General features: G+C 44.5%; 1 protein-coding gene across 3 annotated transcripts in view, besides 1 other annotated feature; it reads left to right on the forward strand.

Moving 5' to 3' along the window:
* The window catches only part of ZDHHC14 (zDHHC palmitoyltransferase 14), a 296,968-nt gene that overhangs the window by 23,734 nt on the left and 251,691 nt on the right, over positions 1 to 21,543 (forward strand). The window lies entirely within an intron of this gene.
* Positions 19,320 to 19,520: a silencer, noted in NCBI's record as "peak6255 fragment used in MPRA reporter construct". NCBI's record gives its function as "represses an SCP1 promoter by STARR-seq MPRAs in K562 erythroleukemia cells {active_cell/tissue: K562}" and the evidence as "EXISTENCE:reporter gene assay evidence [ECO:0000049][PMID:32103011]".

Here is a 21,543-nt window from a genome sequence, read left to right on the forward strand (position 1 = left end):
TGACATTTCAGGAAAAAGGATATGCAAGTAAATTAGAAGCAATGGGTAAGAAAAGCAGCCCTCCCAGGTCCCATTCAGAACATTTACAGGGATGCCTTCAGAAGTGGTGGATTTCAACCTCAGTGGGTAAAGAGAAACAGGGCTGAAGCTCCCGTTTTATTTATTTTTTTCTGCTCATTAAAAATATATATTCTAAGTAGCTCAGGAATATTTTATGTTAGGGTCTAAATTCAGAAATGTGAAACAAGGAGAGAAACCCATCTGGGAACTTTTTTGCACCGCCAAAAGATCCAGCGCAAAACCTCCCCCAGGTGAGCTCTTTTTTTTGAGATGGAGTCTCGCTGTCTCGCCCAGGCTGGAATGCAGTGGCGCGATCTCGGTTCACTGCAAGCTCCGCCTCCTGGGTTCACACTATTCTCCTGCCTCAGCCTCCCAAGTAGCTGGTACTACAGGCACCCGCCACCACGCCTGGCTAATTTTTTGTATTTTTAGTAGAGACGGGGTTTCACTGTGTTGGCCAGGATGGTCTCGATCTCCTGACCTCGTGATCCACCCGCCTTGGCCTCCCAAAGTGCTGGGATTACAGGCGTGAGCCACCGTGCCTGGCCGAGCTCAAAATTTTTTTTAAAAAAAATATTCTTTCCTCTTAAAGTCTGGAAATTTTGGTCAGAAAAACCTCTCCAAGGGTTGATATTAATAATAATGGTAATGATGATGTGGAAAATATGTTGTACTGTTAATAATAATCATGGTGCATTTTTGCATAAGCAACTGTATTTTGAGCAATGATTTACTCAATTATAAGTGATTCTTTATTATAATTGACTAACTGCTTGTCACTTTATAAGTGAGGCTCTAGTTAGCGCTTTGATGTAATGACTGGCCTTAAAAATAAAGTGCTATGCAAGCAAAGACATTTTGTCATGAATTTGTAATGATTTAGTGTGATGGAGCGGGTGTGCTAACATGAAGATTAAATCATGGATGGGCTATAAATGGGGAATTCTGGATGGTTATTCCCCATCCCCCACCCCTGCTCGGACCTCCCCAATTTTTCCATCTTTGTTGCCCCTTCTAAATAGGATAATGCCACCCTTGACAATCATTTGTTTGAGTTAAACCTTGTCCTTTTGAGGGCATGCTTTTAAAAATATTAATTCCTAGCGGGAGAGGTAATGCATGAAGTTTATATCGTATCAGCTCCAGAGCGTGGATTAGCTCATCACTTTCCCACCAGGCCTGAGGCCCTGAACAGGAAGCTGCAGTTGGGGAGGGAGTGGGGTGATTCAGAGCTTGGAATCCTGGAGGACCGGGTGCTGAGAGGTGCACAGGAGGGAGAAAGAAGGTTGAAAGGATTTGAAAGTCGAAGGGATCCGTGTATCTGTTTGGCTATTCTTGAACATGTGATGTCTCCTCAGGTATTGCTATAAGTAGGATCATAATTCTCAGATTGAGGTTATGATGTTGATAGATTAGGACATTGAATCGTACCTTTGGTTGAATATGATTGCAGAAAAATATTATCTCAGAGAGCGCTGGATGGAATTTGGCTTGCTGAGCTAGTGGAGTATTCCCAGCTTCAGAAGAAATATCTGGTTAAGCCAGGGGTTCCCCAGCAGGGTTCTGACTGCTCCATTGCTAACTTATGGGGCACCTTCAGGTAAATGTAAGAAAGTCACTCCTTCTTCAAAATGGTTTATTTCTGCTGTCAGAAAATTATCATTATATACATATTTTTATTAAAATAAGACATTTCCCTCTGCTGGAAAAATTTCAAACTAAGGATCTAATTCCATGAGGTCTACAGTGTAAATGGTGCCGTTACTTGTAAAGCCCTTGTTCAGTGAACAAACCGCGCAGCTGAACATGCAGCCTTGCTTCCTTTTTCTCCAGTCCTCTCTTCTCCATTTCTTCAGCAATGCTGAGTCCTCACTGAGCTAATTGCCTGACATGCAGAAGAGCCTCTCTTTGTCTGCGGGTCAGAGAGGCAGTGAGAAGGGGGATAGAGTCTTGCTTGTCAGGCTCCAGCTACGAGGCATTAAGACATGCACCGGCTTTTATTTTAGCATTGCCGTTCTCAACCTTGGATTAGAAGTGCCCTGGATGTATAAAAGAATTTCTATAAATGTAATGGACACACATTATGGGCTAGGAATTTTATACGTCTCACTAGTCCTTACAACAAATGACCCTATAATGTAGGTGGTTTCGTGGCTCAAAGAGGGTGGGTGACCAGTCCACAGCCGCCCACCTAGTAAGCAGCAGAACTGAGATACGGACTTGGGCTGCTGGGTTGCAGAGCTGCTGGCGTCCCTGGTGGGTTTCCACACCAGGCCACCCTGTAGCCCCGCCCCTGGGAAGGGAGTGAGTGGGACCCTGCCGTCCCCTTTCCTACATGGCCGCTGTGTATAGGCAGCAGCGCAGAGGTGGTCTCTGGGTAGGGAACCCTCTGCCTCCTAGGATTCATTGGGGATGAAAGTCGCAGCTGTTTTATACTCTTCTTAAATTTTGCTTTCCTGTTAAGCCAAGATTTACTGGACACAAGAAAACTTCCCAGCAGTCCCCTAGAAGGAAAACTAACTCTTGGTAGTCTTCCCATTAGCAAATAAAAGTCCCCAAATCATTTTTGTAGACTGCCCAAACCAAGGCACTTTTCATCTGAGAAGACACAGCAATTGTCTCAGCTGTAAAGTAAAAGAGAATTAAAAAAAGGTGGTCTCTTTTGAAAATTCCTGTTGGTGCTTTGGCCATGTGATTACAATGAAATTGGTGTGCCTTCATCTTCAAAGGGCAGAACTCGGTGCTTATATGTTCATTTCATTGTAGTCTGATGGGACAGACACTTCTTGTTGGCCTGTCCTCATGCTCCATATTTATTCCAGGTTGATTAGGATGGCATGTGAACTTAGAACTAAATAAACCTTGCTTGGATGGGTCACCTGGCTAAGTAAACTTACCATGAACTTCTCAGAAGTAAAATAAGCAGGAAGCAGGTTTTTAAAATGCGAGTCCTCTATGCTCTTTTAAGTGCTGCCGTGTTGCTAGGAAATAAGAAACTCTTTGTCCTCAAGAAATGATAAAGGACAAATATAGAAGTAGACTCAAGAAGGAGTTAGCTATATTAATGACGATGAATCTTTAAGAAGTCATTTTGTGGGCAAGTTGTGATAGGTGGGCTATATCTCTGTTTTATACATCAGTTTTAGCTAGGATTAGGCTTTGCTGTAAATAATAGAAACCGCCCAAATAACAGAGGCTTAATCAAGAGAAAAGCTTATTTTTCTCTCACATAAAATGTCAGAGGTGGGCAGTACAGGCTGGCCTGGTGGCTTTGTCCACAAGATCTTCAGAGACCCAAGCTCCTTTCTGCTTTTTTTTTTCTTTAATTTATAAGTTCCGGGGTACATGTGCAGGATGTGCAGGCTTGTTACATAGGTAAACGTGTGCCGTGGTGGTTTGCTGGACAGATCAACCCATCACCTAGGTATTAAGGTCAGCATTCATTAGCTATTCTTCCTGATGCTCTCCCTCCACGCCCTCCAACAGGCCCCAGTGTGTGTTGTTCCCCTCCCTGTGTCCATGTGTTTTCATCGTTCAGCTCCCACTTCTAAGTGAGAACATGTGGTGTTCGGTTCTCTGTTCCTGCATTAATTTCCTGAAGCTCCATCCGTGTGCCTTCCAGCTCCATCCATGTGCCTGCAAAGGACATGATCTGATTCCTTTTTATGGCTGCATAGTATTCCATGGCATATATGTACCACATTTTCTTTATCCATTCTATGATTGATGGGCATTTGGGTTGATTCCATGTCTTTGCTACTGTGAATAGTGCTGCATTGAACATACATGTGCATGTATCTTTATAAAAAATGATTTATAGTCCTTTCGATATATACCCAGTAATGGGTTTGCTGGGTCAAATGGTATTTCTGCTTCTAGATCTTTGAAGAATTGCCACACTGTCTTCCTCCCTGCTTATAATTTCCTTATTCCCTAGGATGTGATCCTTGTTCTTGGGGCCTCACATGGCAGCTGGATCTCTGGCGATTGCATCTGAGTTCCAGACACCAGGATGGAAAAGAAAAGAAGGAGGGGCAAGAGGAACCCCCAGATGCTCCTTAAGAGCTACTGCGTGGCATTCCCACTTGCATCTCATTTGCTCGATCGCTGTCACTGTGCCCTAACGAGCTGCAAGGACACTGGGGAAATGAGTCTGTCTTGTACTTCATGTGCCTCTCAAAATCTTCTGTTGCTGAGGGAGAAGAGGCCAGCCGGTATTGAGGAACAACTAGCACTTTCTGCTTCCGCGTCCCAGGGGGATGTGGGTGTGTTGAATCCACACCGGGGGTGCGGACCTCTGAGGCTGGGCTGGATGGGACATCAGGTGGGCCCTCTGTTTCATTTATGTGACCTCCCATCAGGTCTTCTGGTTGGATCCTGCTTTCTAGAAGCAGAGGGAGCAGCGGGTTACGTATGTTTGTGACTCCTGCAGTTAGCATGCCTTCCCTCTGGCTCAACAGTGTAGGTAGTGTTCTCTTAGGTGACCTTTTCTGGTGAGGGGCTGGACAAGGGCGTGACTGCTCCCCTAGGTGCTGGGTGAATATGTTACTCGATAGATATTTACTGAGCACCAACGGTAAGTCAAGCTCTTGAGTAAAGTAGGGAACATACGCTATGCCAGGCCTCTGCCCTCGTGGAGCAGATGTTCTAGTGGGGAGGTTACATTGACTGGATGAAAGGGAGAATGCATGAATTGCACCCAGCCCTGTCATTTCCTCCTTCCTCTTCTTCACCTTCATCATGATCCCATGAAAGTGTTTCCGAGTGGTTTCCCATCTCCTCCAAGGCATGAGGAGAGGTTGGTCTTCTGCCTCACTGGCAGCTTTATTTTATTTTATTTTATTATTTTATTTTTTGGGGGGGGGGACAGAGTCTTCTTCTGTCACCCAGACTGGAGTGCAGTGGCGCGATCTCGGCTCACTGCAACCTCTGCCTCCCGGGTTTAAGCGATTCTTGTGTCTCAGCCTCCCGAGTAGCTGGGACTACAGGCACATGCCACCATCACGCCCGGCTAATTTTTGTGTTTTTAGTAGAGACGGGTATCACCATGTTGGCCAGGCTGGTCTCGAACTCCTGGCCTCAAGTGATCTGCCCGCGCTGGCAGCTGTTCTAAGAGGCATTCCAGTACCTGTTGGTCATGGAGAGACGCTCACAGGCCAGCTTCTCAGCACTTCCCAGACTGTCCTTTCCTTGTGGCTTCTGTCTGTGGCCAGGAGCCTGCCTGTACTTAGTGGCATTTTTTTGTTTTTTCATGGATTCTCTCTGGTCAGCCAAGCTGCAGTCAAAACATGCATTGTACTTATTTTGTATTCATCTTCCACGGAAAGTGGAAAAAATAAATAGGGCTGGAATGTGCTATGTCATGGTAGTGCTATTTGGGTCCAGGGGAGACATAAAATTGGCTGGATTTGTTGCAGTGCATTTTGTATAAAAAAATGATTCTGAATGAAAAAGTAAGAATTGATGTGTAAAGACTTGCAGATCTTTGAGCCAGAAATAATTTTGAAAACAACAAGAACAACTCATTACCAACTCAATTATCTGGCACCTTAGAAATAATAGGCTATAAGATAAAAGCTAGTGCAGTTTAATGAGGAAGTAGTCACTTTAGGCTAATCTGGTTTCCTTGGAAGCTCCAAGGTTGTGGCAGATGAAGGAGGTGGTAGAGGTAAGCTTACCTGCCTTAGCAAGATATTTGATTTCATCTCTCTTTTTTATTTATTTATTTTTTTGAGATGGAGTCTCACTCTGCCGCCTGGCTAGAGTGCAGTGGCATGATCTTGGTTCACTGCAACCTCTGCCTCCTGGGTTCAAGCGATTCTCCTGCCTCAGCCTCCTGAGTAGCTGGGATTACAGGCACACGCCACCACACCCAGCTAATTTTTGTATTTTTAGTAGAGACGGGGTTTCACCATGTTGGCCAGGATGGTCTCGATCTTCTGACCTCGTGATCTGCCCGCTTCATCCTCCTAAAGTGCTGGGATTACAGGCGTGAGCCACCGCGCCTGGCCTTGATTCCATCTTTAACACCACAGACATCCGTTAGCTGGAGGAGATGGTCCAGGCCAGTGGCTCAGAAGCTGCAGTGGGTAAGGATTCCTTGGGCAGCTTTTGAATATGCCATTTTCTGGATCCCACCTTAGATCGACTGAATCAGAATCCTAGGGCTTAGGGTGAGGTGGTAGGGGTAGTGATGAAACTTAGAACATGTGATTTATTAAAAGCTTTCAATGAATGAAAAAAAGCCAATCTCAAAAGGTTACTGTATGGTGCCATTTATATAACATTCTCACAGTGACATCATACAGAGATGGAGAACAGACAAATGGTTGCCAGGGAGGAGAGAGTGGGGGTTGGGGGCTGTAAGGGCAGTAAGGAGAGCTCCTTTGTGTGGATGGGACAGAAATGCATCTCGATAAATCTGTGTGAGAAGATGTCATATAATTGTGCATAAGGATATATCAAATAAACAAATGCATGCAAAAACTCTTGCCATCAGGGTAGGATCTGTAGTCTAGCTCATTGCCCTATGCAGCCAACCTCCTTTGGTTATGTGAGATGTCCCTCCTGGGGGAAGTTGGGTGCTGGTACTTTCTTACATAGAAGATAAGAGATGTGAAAAAAAGGTTAAGGTTAAGGAAAATAAGAAAACAAAGAGAGAAAGTAAAAGGTTGAGTACTCTCTGCACTATTTTTGGAGTTCCTTGTGAGTCTATAATTATTTCAAAATAAAATGCTAAAAAGGACTTTCCTTCCTGCATGTTCATGGTAAAAAAAAAAAAAAAAAAATTAAAGCTTTCCAGGCATCTCTGATGTGTGGCCACTGGTTTAGACCACACAGTCATTAGATATGTGTGCAATTGGTGCATTAGTGTGACATCGGGAAGGGTGGTAGGAAGATTAGCTTTAGATATGTAGTTTGTTGGAGAGATATATACATATATATATATTTATATTTTATTTCTTTTTTTTTTGAGATGGAGTCTCGCTCTGTCACCCAGGCTGGAGTGCAGTGGTGTGATCTCGGCTCATGGCAACCTCCACCTCCTGGGTTCAAGCAATTCTCCTGCCTCAGCCTCCCAAGTAGCTGGGATTACAGGCACCCACCACCATGTCCAGCTAATTTTTGTATTTTTAGTAGAGATGGGGTTTTGCCATGTTGGCCAGGCTGGTCTCGAACTCCTGACCTCAAGTGATCTGCTCTCCTCAGCCTCCCAAAGTGCTGGGATTACAGACGTGAGCCACTGCGCCTGGCCAGTTTGTTGGATATTTTATTAATAGCTAGTAATAGAATGGAGTTTTGTTGTTGTTGTTTGTTTGCTTGTTTTGAGATAGAGTCTCGCTGTGTCGCCCAGGCTGGAGTGCAGTGGTGCGATCTTGGCTCACTATAACCTCTACCTCCTAGGTTCAAGTGGTTCTCCTGCCTCAGCCTCCCAACTAGCTGGGACTACAGGCACTCACCACTGTGTCTGGCTAATTTTTATATTTTTAATAGAGGCAGGGTTTCACCATCTTGTCCAGGCTGGTCTCAAACTCCTGACCTCAAATGGTCCACCCACCTTGGCCTCCCAAAGTGCTGGGATTACAGGTGTGAGCCACCGTGCCCGGCCAATAGAATGCAGTTTGCAGTGGGAATTGTCTTAGCTTGAAGTGGTCATTACCTTCACAATTCAGGTGGAAATGGTGGTACAACTCAAGTACTTTGGAGAATTGGAGAATGAGGAGTAATAAGCACAAGCGCACCATAGTTAGCCTGGATAGCAGGAGACCACGTAGGTGCACGCCCACGTCAGAATCAGAGCAAAACCATTTGTCAAATTGTGGACATGAAGTTCTGGAAATAAATTTTCATGAGAGCACCAGTGAGGATATAGCGTTGGGAAATCAGGTCCATGAGAAAGAAGAAAGGCTGTGGGATCCGTATTTTTTGGCCCAGAAGTTACAGATACAACAGCTTTCAAGGACATATGTTTTAGAGAGCCCGTGGGGTTAGCTGTTTGGCATCAGCGCCAAAGTGAAAGGAGGTCGGCTCACAGTACTGAACGGCAGATTGAAGGGAGACTTCAGGAATAGTCTTGGAAGTGAGGGAGACGGTGAATGAGGGAGGAAGTGGGAAGTGTAATCCCTTTCCATAGAAGCGTCTAAAGTGCCAAGAACAGTGCCTGGCATACAGTAGACACGCACTCCGTGTTTGTAGAAGCGGTGATGTGAGGCCCTGCAGGGGGTCGAGGGGTGGGCACATGGTTCTGCTGCTTCTCTCTGCCTCTCAGCTCAAAGCTGAGTCTTCACCACAGCAGACGACTGGGGACAGCCCTAAAACACAGAGGTTTTGCTCATGATACGCCACTGAAGATTTACATATGGAGAGAGAGCTGATGAACAGCTGTTCTCGTCTCCTCGCCTGGCATCTTACAGGTGGATACAGCTTCTCTGATTCTATTTCACCAACACTCACTGGTAAGACGTCACTGCCTTAGTTTGCCTCAGGAAGGGGAATTTCTTATTTCATAGTTTTAAAATTACCTGAAATAGCAGATAATTCTTTCAGAAAGATTTTTTTTTTCTTTTAAAGGTATCTCTGTTTTAAAGCTTTTCTTCCTTCCTTTCTTTTTTTTTTTTTAAGTCAGAAGGCAGCCAAAAATTCCTCACATTCAGAGACTTAGTGGGCTGGATGTGTGGGAGCTTTCTACACTGCATTTTCTAAAATGTCTTTTTTCCGTCTAAAGCCTGTCTCCATGGAGCCTCAAAACTCCTTTCTACCCACAGCAACTTCTTTTCTTTCTCTGGAAAATGTGTGCCTGGACTCAGATTCCATCCATGTGGCTTCTCATGGACATCTGTGATGAGTTACAAGGTGTCTGTTGAATGCCACTGTATTCCCTCCACCCTGGAAAGGCCGGGACGACACTGCGCAGGTCACCCAGCACATTTCTCTCTGTGCTATTATTATTATTATTATTATTATTTGGCTTGAGACAGAGTCTCACTCTGTTGCCCAGGCTAGAGTGCAGTGGTGCAATTTTGGCTCACCATAACCTCCAACTCCTGGGTTCAAGCGATTCTCCTGCCTCAGCCTCCAGAGTAGCTGGGATTACAGGCATACCATGCCCAACAAATTTTTGTATTTTTAGTAGAGACAGAGTTTCACCATGTTGGCCAGGATGGTCTCAAACTCCTGACCTCAGGTGATCCTCCCACCTTGGCTTCCTTTGATTACAGGCGTGCACCACCATGCGCAGCTGAGAGAGCACTGGGTTCTTGTTCTGGCTCTGCCGCTGCCTCTGGCATGCCCACGGCGAACTCCCTTTGCCTCCCTGGGCTTTGCTTTCTTCATCTCTGAAAGATGCCGATGGCCTCTAAGCTTCCGCCCATCCCCCAGTGATCTCAGGTTCTAGAAAAGTAGGCTAGCTGGCACCCTTGATTATGAAAACCATGGTGCCACCCTTCCACTTCCACCTTTAAAATAAGGCCAAAATGAGCATTCTGCATTGGCTCATGCTGTGCTTGGAGGAAGGGGAGCCTGAGGAAGTGCTGGTGTTGTAGTCTGAAGTTTCCAAGACAGTATATGACTATGAGATGTTGACCATCTCTATGGGCTGCAGCTGCTGCCAGAGACTTTCATCCAGGCCAAGAGACCTATGGGATGCACATGTGCAGGGTCATTTGTCCAGGCCACCACTGGGCACAGGGAGCCTAGTTTAGGGTCTTTGCAATGTCAGAGGATATTCAGTGTCCATATCGTACAGTTGTTGGTTTGTGTTTTTTCCTGACAGACTTACGAAATTCCTTCACATCTTCTTTCCATTTGAATTCTGCACCATCTAGTTCAGGTTTGCAGCTTTTTTTTTTTTTTTTTTTTTAAACAAATTTCTTCACTGCCTGATGAAATTGTGAATTCTGTTCTTTCTCCTTGCCTGTCCCAAGTACAGGCTTTCGAGACATTTTGAGAACATTTGCTTGGATCTTCGTAACTCTCATACCTTTGTTTGTCTCTATAGTTACAACTCTAAAGTCACTCTTATGAGGATTCAAGGACTTAATGGACCACACTTCCTAGCGAGGACAGTGGGGGGATGTTGGCAGAGAAAGTGTGTGCTAGGCTGGTCCCACTTACTGTCAAGAGAACTATACTGATAATATTTTTGACTCGTCCAGCTTTTCAATCGGTACATCTTGAATAAACCATTGAATGACTATTTCTTTTTTTCTTTAAAGTTCCTTTTATGTTCTGGGCTGTGCTAGGCTCTAAAAAGCTATTAAACAATATTGTAACTAATATTGTCATAACAAGCTACTGATACTGTCTTTATTGCCAGTTTATCAAAGGGCTTTGCAAGGGATAGGAAGGTATTTAAAAAAAAATCACCACTCTCAGACAAATTGGTAGAGGCAGTAAGGACAGGGAGTGCTATTTCAAGAATGAACAGAGCTCTCCAAATGCTTATTGAGGAAAGAATAGAAATTGGGTAATATTAGGGCTTTTATAGAACAGGTGGGATGTGCTCCATGAGAGCAAAGCTTTTCAGCAAAGAACTTGTCAGAAATAAGATGATGTCCATTTTTTTTCTATCCTGAATGCTTTAGAAGGGTGGATTAAAAGTTGGTGGCAAGGCCAGGTACGGTGACTTACACCTGTAATCCCAGCACTTGGGGAGGCCAAGGTGGGCGGATCACTTGAGGTCAGGAGTTTGAGACCAGCCTGGCCAACATGGTGAAACCCCGTCTCTACTAAAAATACAAAAATTAGCCTTCATGGTAGCATGTGCCTGTAATCCCAGCCACTTGGGAGGCTGAGGCAGGAGAATGGCTTGAACCTGGGAGGCAGAGATTGCCGTGAGCCGAGATGGTGCCATTGCACTCCAGCATGGGTGACAGAGTAAGACTTTGTCTCAAAAAAAAAAAAAAGAAAAAGTTGTTGGCAAAAATAACTCCAAGGGAGGTATAATTTTCGAACTTGAAGAAATACCAAAGACAGCATATTCACTCAGTAATTCTGATGAAGTGCCCCACATGCAAGCTGGGCTTTAAAAGTAAACCTGGGAGGCCAAGCAGAACCTGGATCTTCCCAAAGTTATTCTCCAAGCATCACGGGCAACTCTCATCCCTGGCAGGTAACAGCCATGTGGATCACTGGAAAAAGCTATTTGGCTTTGGAGAGCACATGTGTGCATTTGGATTGTATCTTTTAAAATTTATTTTACTTAGGCTATATTAATATTAATGTGTAGTCCCCTAATTCATATCACTATCAGTAGCTAGAAAGATTGTAGATGATTTGAATGAATTTCTAGGCAGTGATTTTTCTATATATATTTGCCATTTGAATTTCTGTGAAGTGTTATAATTGAATCCTTTGAACATTTTGAAAGTATTTTTCATCTTGATTTAAGAAATTATAGGCTGGATGCAGTGTCTCACGCCTGTAATCCCAGCACATTAGGAGGCCAAGTCAAGAGGATTGCTTAAGTTCAAGAGTTTGAGGCCAGCCTGGGCAACACGGTGAGACCTTCTATCAAAAAAAAACAAGCAAAAAAAAATTATTCAGGTGTGGTGGCACATACCTGTGGTCCCAGCTGCTCCGGAGGCTGAGGTGGGAGCTTGCTTGAGCCCAGAAGATACAGGATGTAGTGAGCCATGATTGTGCCACTGCACTCCAGCCTGGGTGACAGAGTGAGACCCTGTCTCATTAAAAAAAAAAAAAAAAAAAAAAAAAAGATAAACGTAGTACATGCTATGGTAAAAAATTCGAACAGTATAGAGGCCGTTGAATGAAAACTAATTCACCTCCCACTTGCCACTCCCGAGTTGTAGCCATTGTTAGCAAATTTTTTTTTTTTTTTTGAGACAAAAGTCTCGAACTGTCGCTCAGGCTGGAGTGCAATGGCGTGATCTTGGCTCACTGCAATCTCTGCCTCCCGAGTTCAAGCGATTCTCCTGCCTCAGCTCCCAAGTAGTTGGGATTACAGGTGCCCGCCACCATGCCTGGCTAGTTTTTTTTTTTTTTTTTTTTTTTTTTTTTGTATTTTTAGTAGAGACAGGGTTTCACTGTGTTGGCCAGGCTGGTCTCGAACTCCTGACCTCGTGATCTTCCTACCTCGGCTTCCCAAAGTGCTAGGATCACAGGCATGAGCCACCGCGCCTGGCTCATTGTTAGCAATTTTATGGCATCCTTCCAGAATTGTATCTATGTGGGTGTACGGGTGCTCGTTAATCCTGTTGCCGTTTGCTCTTATCCAATTCTGTATGCTCCTTAGTTCCAGAAACAGGCATGTGATGTCCTTATGCATCTGCTCTGCCTAGTTAGATGCTGTCATCCCTACCCAAGATGTGGATAAAAGCATGTGTGTATATTTTACACAAGTGAGATCCTACTACATATACTGTTCTGTACTCTGTTTTTTGTCAACTAATCACGTATCGTGGACATTTTTTTCATATCAGCACATATAGAACCCCTCTCCCTTTTTAAGAGCTGCTTAGCATTCTGTAATATGGATGGACCCTAATTTACTCAGCCAGGATGGACTTTTGGGTTTCCAGTTTTTAGCTGTTATTAACTAGGCTGCAGTAAACAATCTTGGACATAGAGTTTGGCACATAGTGTGCCTTTGTTTGTAGGATCATATCAGATGGCTTTCAGCTGCAAGTTATAGAAAATGATGACTTACATTGGCTGATATGATACATAAATCTATTATCTCCGTAAAGGCGAAGAAGGCCAGGCATGGTGGCTCACGCCTGTAATCCCAGCACTTTGGGAGGCCGAGGCGGGCGGATCACGCTAATGTGGTGAAACCCCGTCTCTACTAAAAATACAAAAAATTAGCCGGGCGTGGTTGCGGGTGCCTGTAGTCCCAGGTATTCAGGAGGCTGAGGCAGGAGAATGGCCTGAACCCAGGAGGCGGAGCTTGCAGTGACCTGTGATTGTGCCACTGCACTCCAGCCTGGGCGACAGAGCGAGAGTCCATCTCAAAAAAAAAAAAAAAAAGACGAAGAAGCCCAGGGTCAGGCCGACTGCAGGACCTGTTGGTCCATCTGCTTAGCGATGTCTCGGGGCCCAGGCACTTTCCTCCTCTGCACTTACCCCACATGGTCCCAGGATGGCTGCACTGACTCCAGGGGACACATCCAGACCTGACATCAGGAAAAGGTGAGGCCGTGGCTTCCCCTGGGTCCTTCTCAGAAGTGAGGAGGCCCTGTCCCACGCGTGTCTTATGGCCCATTCTCAAACCCATCAGAGGTCAGGGTGGAGTGTGTGTTAGAGGTCAGTTTTTACACTTGGTAAAACGATGAAGTCATGCAAATGGAATTGCTGGGTCAGCGATTTTAAAGCTACATTAAAAGTTTGCAGAATATTCCCAAATTGACTTATGAAGATATGGAACCAATTTATACTCCTACAGGCATGAACGAGGGTTAAGCAGTTCGAGAAGTGGGCTATAAAGCTGAGTGTGTTGCACTTTGCTTTCTAGAGGATGTATGGAACAGGACATGTTTTTATTTGACTGTTCATTATCAGAGGCCTGTGCCCTTTATCTAGGAAGGATGTCCAAAGCAGTGGGGAAAAATGATAGGTTTAATAAAACGTAGGCCTGGAAACATGGCTTGTTCATATTTTGGGAACACAGAGAGGCCTTTAAATGATTAAATTGCTTCAAGACTTCGAGTGTGCCATTTTCCTACACAATGAAATACAGATAGCTATGTTCTACCCTCCTCAACCCATTCCCCATCTCTCAGCAAATACCCAGTTCAGTATTCCAGAAACATTTTAGTGAGTGAATGTAGCGCCAAACTTCTTCAAATAGACCCATCTCCAAATCATCCACCAGGTGTATGTTTCCTTGTTAGTCAGAGCCCCACACATATGTCCAAGATAAGGCTATTTAAAGACAGAGTTACTAAGCTGGGTAGAAAGCACTCAGGGAACTTTTAGCAATTCAGTTATTATATTGGACTGCTGAAGAATTGTACTGGACGATTGCACTATAAGATGCTAGGAGGTCATATATAGTGTAGTCCTTGTGATACAATTCAAATGCACTTGCAGGTTTAGGGCCATTTGTGGAGCAGCAGGCTTGGAATAGGACTGGGGAATTCAACCATTTTTCTCCTCTAGGGACTGTGGGATCCCCATGTCGGCGGAAATGAGTTTTCATTTCCTGCTGTCTTCCTCCTGAGGTTGTCCCTCCAGTCTTTGGCTGTGATGATAGTGTGGTACATTTGTTACAATCGATCAACCTATATTGATTCATGATTATTAACTAAAGTCTACAGTTTAGGGTTTACTCTTTGTGTTGTATATTCTATGGATTTATGTCATGCCTAATGTCATGTGCCCATCATTACAGTTTCATACAAAATAGTTTTTTCATATCAGAAAGGCTATTTTGTATGATACTGTATCAAACAAAAAAGCCTTCTAAATTCCCTGTATGGTACAGTATCATACAAAATAGCCTTGTAAATTCCCCATACACCCTCCCCATCCTCTGCCCGAAGTCTGGCAACCACTAGTCTTTTTACTGTTTCTATAGTTTTGTCTTTTCCCGACTGTCGTAGAGTTGGGATCATGCAAGATGTTGCCTTTTCATTTGGCTTCTTTCACTTAACCATGTGCATCCAAGGTTCCTTTGTATCTTTTTGTGGCTTGATAGCTCATTTCTTTGTATTGCTGAGTAATATTCCATTGTATGGATATACCACCATTTGTTTTTCTATACCTAACGAAGGACATCTTGGTTGCTTACAATTTTTGGCAATTATGAATGAAGTTTCCATAAACATTCCTGGGTAGGTTTGTGTGTGGACATAAGTTTTCAGGGGACGTGATTGCTGGATATATGGTAAGACTGTGTTTAGCTGTGTAGGAAACCACTACATTGTGTTCTAAAGTGGCTACACCATTTTTCATTTCCATAGGCAGTGAATGAGAGTTCCTGCTGCTCCACATCCTTGTCAGCATTTGGTGTTGTCAGTGTTGTGGATTTTAGCCATGCTAGTAAATGTGTAGTAGTATCTTACTGTTGTTTTAATTTGCAATTTCCTAATGACGTGAGACATGGAGCATCTTTTCATGTGCTTATTTGCCATCTCCCCAGGTTATTTTAAGGTCTCTAGCATGGAATGAAAACCCTCACAGTGGGAAAGCAGAATCGAGGCACTGATGAGAGAGAAGGTATAGTCATTGAAGGGGTGGGCTGAATCAAGGCACTGATGAGAGGAGAGAAGGTATAGTCATTGAAGGGGTGGGCTGAATCGAGGCACTGATGAGAGGAGAGAAGGTATAGTCATTGAAGGGGTGGGCTGAATCAAGGCACTGATGAGAGGAGAGAAGGTATAGTCATTGAAGGGGTGGGCTGAGTCAAGGCACTGATGAGAGGAGAGAAGGTATAGGCATTGAAGGGGTGGGCTGAATCAAGGCACTGATGAAGGAGAGAAGGTATAGTCATTGAAGGGGTGGGCTGAATCGAGGCACTAATGAAGGAGAGGAGGTATAGTCACTGAAGGGGTGGGCTGAATCGAGGCACTAATGAAGGAGAGGAGGTGTAGTCATTGAAGTGGTGGGCTGAATTGAGGCACTGATGAAGGAGAGGAGGTGTAGTCATTGAAGTGGTGGGCCATTACCAGTGCGACTGAGTGGCCTCGGTCAGCTTTGAGCACATTTCAGTAATGACTTCCCTTCCTTCACTCTATAGAAGTAGGTTGCTCTCTACGAGCATAGGTCAGAACTTGGTCACATTTCAGCCTAGTAGGAGCGAATGACTCAGAAAGAGAGACAACATCAAGGACGGATGGGAGCCACTGCTTGAATGGAGAGATGTGCTGTTAGGTGTCTGCAGTGGCCTTGTTGGTTGCCTATCCACTAAACATTGCGCTCCTCTTCCTTGGCAACAGAGCCCTGTGCGGTAGGCCTCAGGAGCAGCCGTCCTGATCTTCAGCTCAGGGGAGGGCCTGAGGTCTCAGATGACCCCACCTCATCTGAGTTAAGCTAGCTTCAGTTAGGTTTTCTGATGCTTTGCAGCAGAACACATCTGAACTAACGTAATACCTTTTTTAGTAAGGCACTTCAGTTTATTTTTTTTTGTAGCAAATCCTCAGTGTTACTAAAAAAGGGCACTGTAAATAAAGATGGGTGTTATTATGACCGCAGAGCCCAGAATTGATATCAAGTAGACTTTATACCAAGAGCTTGGAGTCTAAAAGTTTTCCATAAGTCAAGATAGAAGCAAACTGCCTGGGCGCGGTGGCTCACGCTTGTAATCCCAGCACTTTGGGAGGCCGAGGCAGGTGGATCACGAGGTCAGGAGATCGAGACCACGGTGAAACCACGTCTCTACTAAAAATATTAAAAAAAAAATTTGCTGGGTGTGGTGGCGGTCGCCTGTAGTCCCAGCTATTCGGAGGGGCTGAGGCAGGACAATGGCATGAACCCGGGAGGCGGAGCTTGCAGTGAGCTGAGATCGTGCCACTGCACTCCATCCTGGGCTACAGAGCCAGACTCCGTCTCAAAAAAAAAAAAAAAAAAAAAAAAAGATAAAAGCAAACTGCTCAGTGTACTGTGCTTTGAGAGCCTTAATGGAAAAGCACTAAAAGAATAGTAACAACTAACATTTGGATTGTGTGTTTCTTTTTTCTTTTTTGAGACAGAGTCTTGCTCTGTCGCCCAGGCTGGAATGCAGTGGCACAATCCCGGCTCACAGCAACCTCCGCCTCCTGCGTTCAAGCAATTCTCCTGCCTCAGCCTCCTAAGTAGCTGGGATTATAGCCACCCACCATGACGCCCGGCTAATTTTTGTGTTTTTAGTAGAGACGGGGTTTCACCATGTTGGTCAGGCTGGTCTGGAACTCCTGAGCTCAGGTGATCCACCCGCCTTGGCCTCCCAAAGTGCTGGGATTACAGGTGTGAGCCACCGCGCCCGGCCTGGATTGTGTGTTTCACATAATTATTTCATCTGAAGATGCATTCATTCACTCAGCATGTATTGAACTCGTTCTAGGCTTCAAGAGCCTCATAACGATTCTGAGGGGCAGGCGATTTAGCTCCACTTAGCAGGTAAGAAACTGATGAGGTGAGGAAACTCGAACCCACGTACCTGGGTCTCAGTTGAGAGCCCTTTCCAACCGGCTGGACTGTAGCTTTCCCCAGCCCCATCCAGAGCATTTCCAGGCATCTGGAGGCTCTTCTCTGGATAGTCTTAGGTTAGCTTTATTAATCAAGGGATAACAGTAACACAGAAAGGTGGATTGAGGGTGGGATGTCAGAAAACTCTCTGTGTTAAGATAGATGTGGACATTGGTGCAAGGGTTGCTGTCAGAGAAACAATGCAAATTGTATTTTTTTTTTCTCTGCCAGATGTTTCCCATACATGTTCAATGAATGTTCCAGATTTTAAAAAATTCCATCTCCATTTCTGGATTCTGTACTTCCATCCCACACATCCCAGATTTAAAGGAATAGAAGGGACCCGTTCGCTATTATGAAGCTAAACTCAGCAGCCTCTAGTGGAGCGTTACCCCGGGAAGCAATCAGCTCTGATAGGACAGTGGGAAGACCATCAGTGGCAGGTTACTGGTTTTCATAGAACCCGAGGTAACTGAAAGCTTCTCATGGGCACTTGCTATGTGGCAGACTCTACACTCTGTTTTCATTTAATGATTTTTAAAGATGCCCCATGTTTTAAGGTTTCTACTCTCCATGATCAGGACGGGCACGGTAAGCCCTCTCTGTGATAACCAGGAGGAGGAAGAGATAGTACAGTAATAGCATGCCCAAGGCATTTGTATCGACCCCTTCTGTGCTTTTTATATTTTTAAATTTTGTACCTTTTTATTCTGTATTTTATATACTTCTTTGCAAAACAGAGTGGCTCTTCCCACAATCTGTCCCGATGGCCTTTTGGGTCAAGGAGCACAGATCTGTGTAGTTATAGGAAAAGCAGCTGAAATGTGTGTGCTTTACTAACTTTACTTCCCCTCTTTTTAAAAAGCAGTTCATTTACTCTTTCTCATGCATTCTACTTTTCAGTCGATAAGGAAAATGTTTTCCAGGCCAAACAAACTAGACTGAGATCATATGCTTGTCAGGAGACACAAACCTTCCCTCAAGGCAGCTGGCACTTGAATGGGTAAAAGTTATTGTTGTTGATATTCCTTAGCTTAATAAGGTCCCCAAAGTGGCATTGACTTTGAGTTCTACTGACTTTTCATGTGACTTTAGGCCTTAATTTTCCCACCTCAAAAATGGGATGAATGAAGCCCCACTGGCCGGATAGTCACAGCTGAAGGAACTGACACAGATATTGTAAGTTTTAGGGACCTTTTAATTTTAAATGTAGGAGGACTCTTGAAAATCCTTTTCCTTTTATTTGGAATTTGTGATTATTCATATGGTGCGGCAGGGTGCTGGGAAGACCTAGACTTTTTTTTCTTAGTGCAAATGAGGTATAATAACATTATCCCTAGGGAAGCAGATGAAAGTAATAAGCAGGATTATATTTTTAAAATTTCATAAATAAAGTTCCCCTTTTATTTAATCCAAATTGGTGAGGGTTTACTAAGCATTGCGGGATTTTCCAGGTATGAATTTTCGGCATGTATAACACTGAGATTGGGTATTCTGACCTCCAAATATTATAGTCTGAAGAGACTTGAAAACATCCACTTGTTAGATCTGAAGTTGTTTGACATAAGACGGTGGCAAAATCTCTGTTTTGTAAGCAAGGAGAATGCATCCCAACCTACAGGCTAATCCTTGAGAAATGTGGCTTCCAACTTGCTGAGCCGATTTAAACTCTCACCACTCCAGGTGCCATCTGTGGATTTGGAGGATGGCATCGTGTAGGAGCTCATTGGAAAAGCAGAATCTCAGGTTCCACCCCAGACCTGCAGACTCTGACCCCCCAGGCGATTCGTGTGCAATATGAGGTTTCAGAGCACACTGGTTCAGGCATCCATCAGCGCTTGTGTAGCTCCCAAACAAAGCCCAGCCTGGCAGGCGCTTGAGGTAAGCTGGGCCTCAACTTGTCCCATCCAAAGCTTCGGCTTATTTCACCTGAGTTTTAACAGATGCGTGCTTTGCATAACAGTCTGTTCGCACCCAAACCAAATACACTTCTTTTTCATATCAAACAACACATTCACTGAAATGATTTCTGTAGATGTTTGAGAGGCAGCCACTGTGTGATATATTTAAACTCACTTTGTTCTGTCTGAAAAATGTGTTGAAAAGAATTCTGAACAGAGGGGAAAAAAGGCAAACCTTAAAGGGATATTGCTGTGATAAAATGGTATGCCAGTGGTGGTGAGAAATTTTGTTTTGCCTTCAGGACTTATTTGTTTATTAAAGAAGAGTGAAGGCAGTATGGAGATGTCAAGCCACAGCTCAAGTAAACGTTGAATCTGACGAGGTCAAACTCAAACACAATCACTGCCCTATTTTTTGGTGGTGCGATTTTGAATCAAAAGGGGGACTGACAGCACAGATAGGGAGAGAACAAGTGTCTTTCTGAGGCTTTCTGAGCTTGAAGCCGTCCTGTTCTCCAAAGCTCTAAGCGGAACACCTGATTAGCAGAGTCAGAGAGCAAACGTGGTGCTTCGCTTGGCTATGAACAAACAACTGGTTAAAAAGCCTTTCTGGAGGTTCTTGTGAAATCTGTCTGGGGGCCCAGAAACCCTGCCCCGAGCAGTGATTTTAGTAACATGGGGATAAGTTTGCAGGAGATTCGATTAATGATTAAATGAACAAACCGGGAGTCCTGGTTTGACTTCTCTTTCTCACCTCCCCTATCCAATCAATCACAACGGCCTGGGAATTTCTCCATAGAAATATCTCTCAAATGTGCCCTTCACTGCGTCCCCAACCCCACCCCAGGCCCCAGAGTCAGCTGGGCCCAGCTTCTTCAGCAGGATCCCTGCCAGGTGTCCTAGGTCACCCGCCAGCCCGCCCACTCTCACTCTTCAGTCCATAGCCAGCCACACTGCAGCCAGAGGGAGCTTTTCATATAAACTCCAAAATCAAGAGTGTTCTGATGTTTAAGACTCCCATTGTTATTTTTATTGGGGTTGCATTATGTTTATAGATTAATTTAGGAAGCATTGACATTGTCTTATTGTTGAATCTTCCTGTCCAGGAATGGACATCAAGTTTTCTGCGTCCCTCAGGTTAATTTAAATTCTCTTCATAAGGATCTTGTACAACTCTTGTTTCATTTACTGTTAATTTCACCCTCTTGCTTCTATTATAAATGGAGGCCTTTCCTTCTAATATCTCTTGAAACTGGTTATTGTTCATATACAAGCAAGTTATTGATTTCTACATATTAACTTGCTTCTACCACCCTACTGAATTCTCTTATGGTTTGAGTAGTTTCTTAATGGATTCTTTGGGGGTTTTTAGCTGTATAGGCATATCATATGCAAATAGTGAGAGCTGTACCTCTTTTTTCCTCATTTTTAAATCTCTAATTTCTTTCTCACCCAATTATGTTGGCCAGCTCCTCAAAGAACAATGATAGCGGACATTGTGTCTTGCTTTTCAATAGTGAAATGCGACTAGTGTTCCCTTTCTAAATGCTGAATTTTGGTTGCGATATCTGCATTTTATCATGTTAGGAAATTATCCATCATTACTTCATTAACTAAGCATTTTTGAAGAGGGATCTTTTCAAAAGGCAGACTTGATCATGTCACTCTTCTGCTTCCTGGTGTTCTGAAGTAGAAACTAAAATTCTTGCCTGCATCCCCAGCCCCTGGGCCATCCGGTCCCTGTTTCCCCTGCAGCCTCATCTGGCCAGATGCTGCATTTTGCTGCCTGGGCTCCAGCCACACCGGCTGTCTTGTAGCTTCTAGAACGTGCTGTGCCCCTGCCAACCTTAGAACCCTTGGACACCTGTTTCCTCTGTAATGCTTGCTGCTCTGCCCTCTGCCACCCCACAGGTCTTTGCCTAACCACCTCCTACTATCTTGCAGAGGTCATCTCAATAGGCACTTCCTCACAGAAGTCTCCTGATCCCCCAACCAGACTGGCTCCCCATCTAGTCCCCTGCATTCTACCTAGAGAGGCAGATGGGGTCAGAGTGTGAGGATCCTGGGGCAGTGAATCTGAGGCTGCCAGACCAGGGGTGGAAGGTCTAAAGGAGGCGGTCATGCTGCTCACGTTCAGATGTGAGAGCCTCCCGCAAGGTGGTGGTTCTGGGTTGGGCAGGAGGGATCTGGCACAAGGAACGTTATGGAGATGAGAGCTGCACAGCTTGACACTGAATGGATGCTGGGTGGGGAGGTGGGGAAGGGACAGCTAGGATGACCTAAGGACTCGACTTGGATGATTGGATGGTGTCATTCACTGAGATGGGGATTCCAAGAAGAGAGGCAATTTTAAGGGAAAAATCAATGAATTTGGTTTGGAACATTCAACAGTCATTTATGGAATGCCAATGGCATGCCACATGCCGCATTAGGGTCTTAGGATCGAGGGTGACCCACA

This window comes from Homo sapiens, chromosome 6 (genome assembly GCF_000001405.40).
Source record: "Homo sapiens chromosome 6, GRCh38.p14 Primary Assembly".
Taxonomy (NCBI): Eukaryota; Metazoa; Chordata; class Mammalia; order Primates; family Hominidae; genus Homo; species Homo sapiens.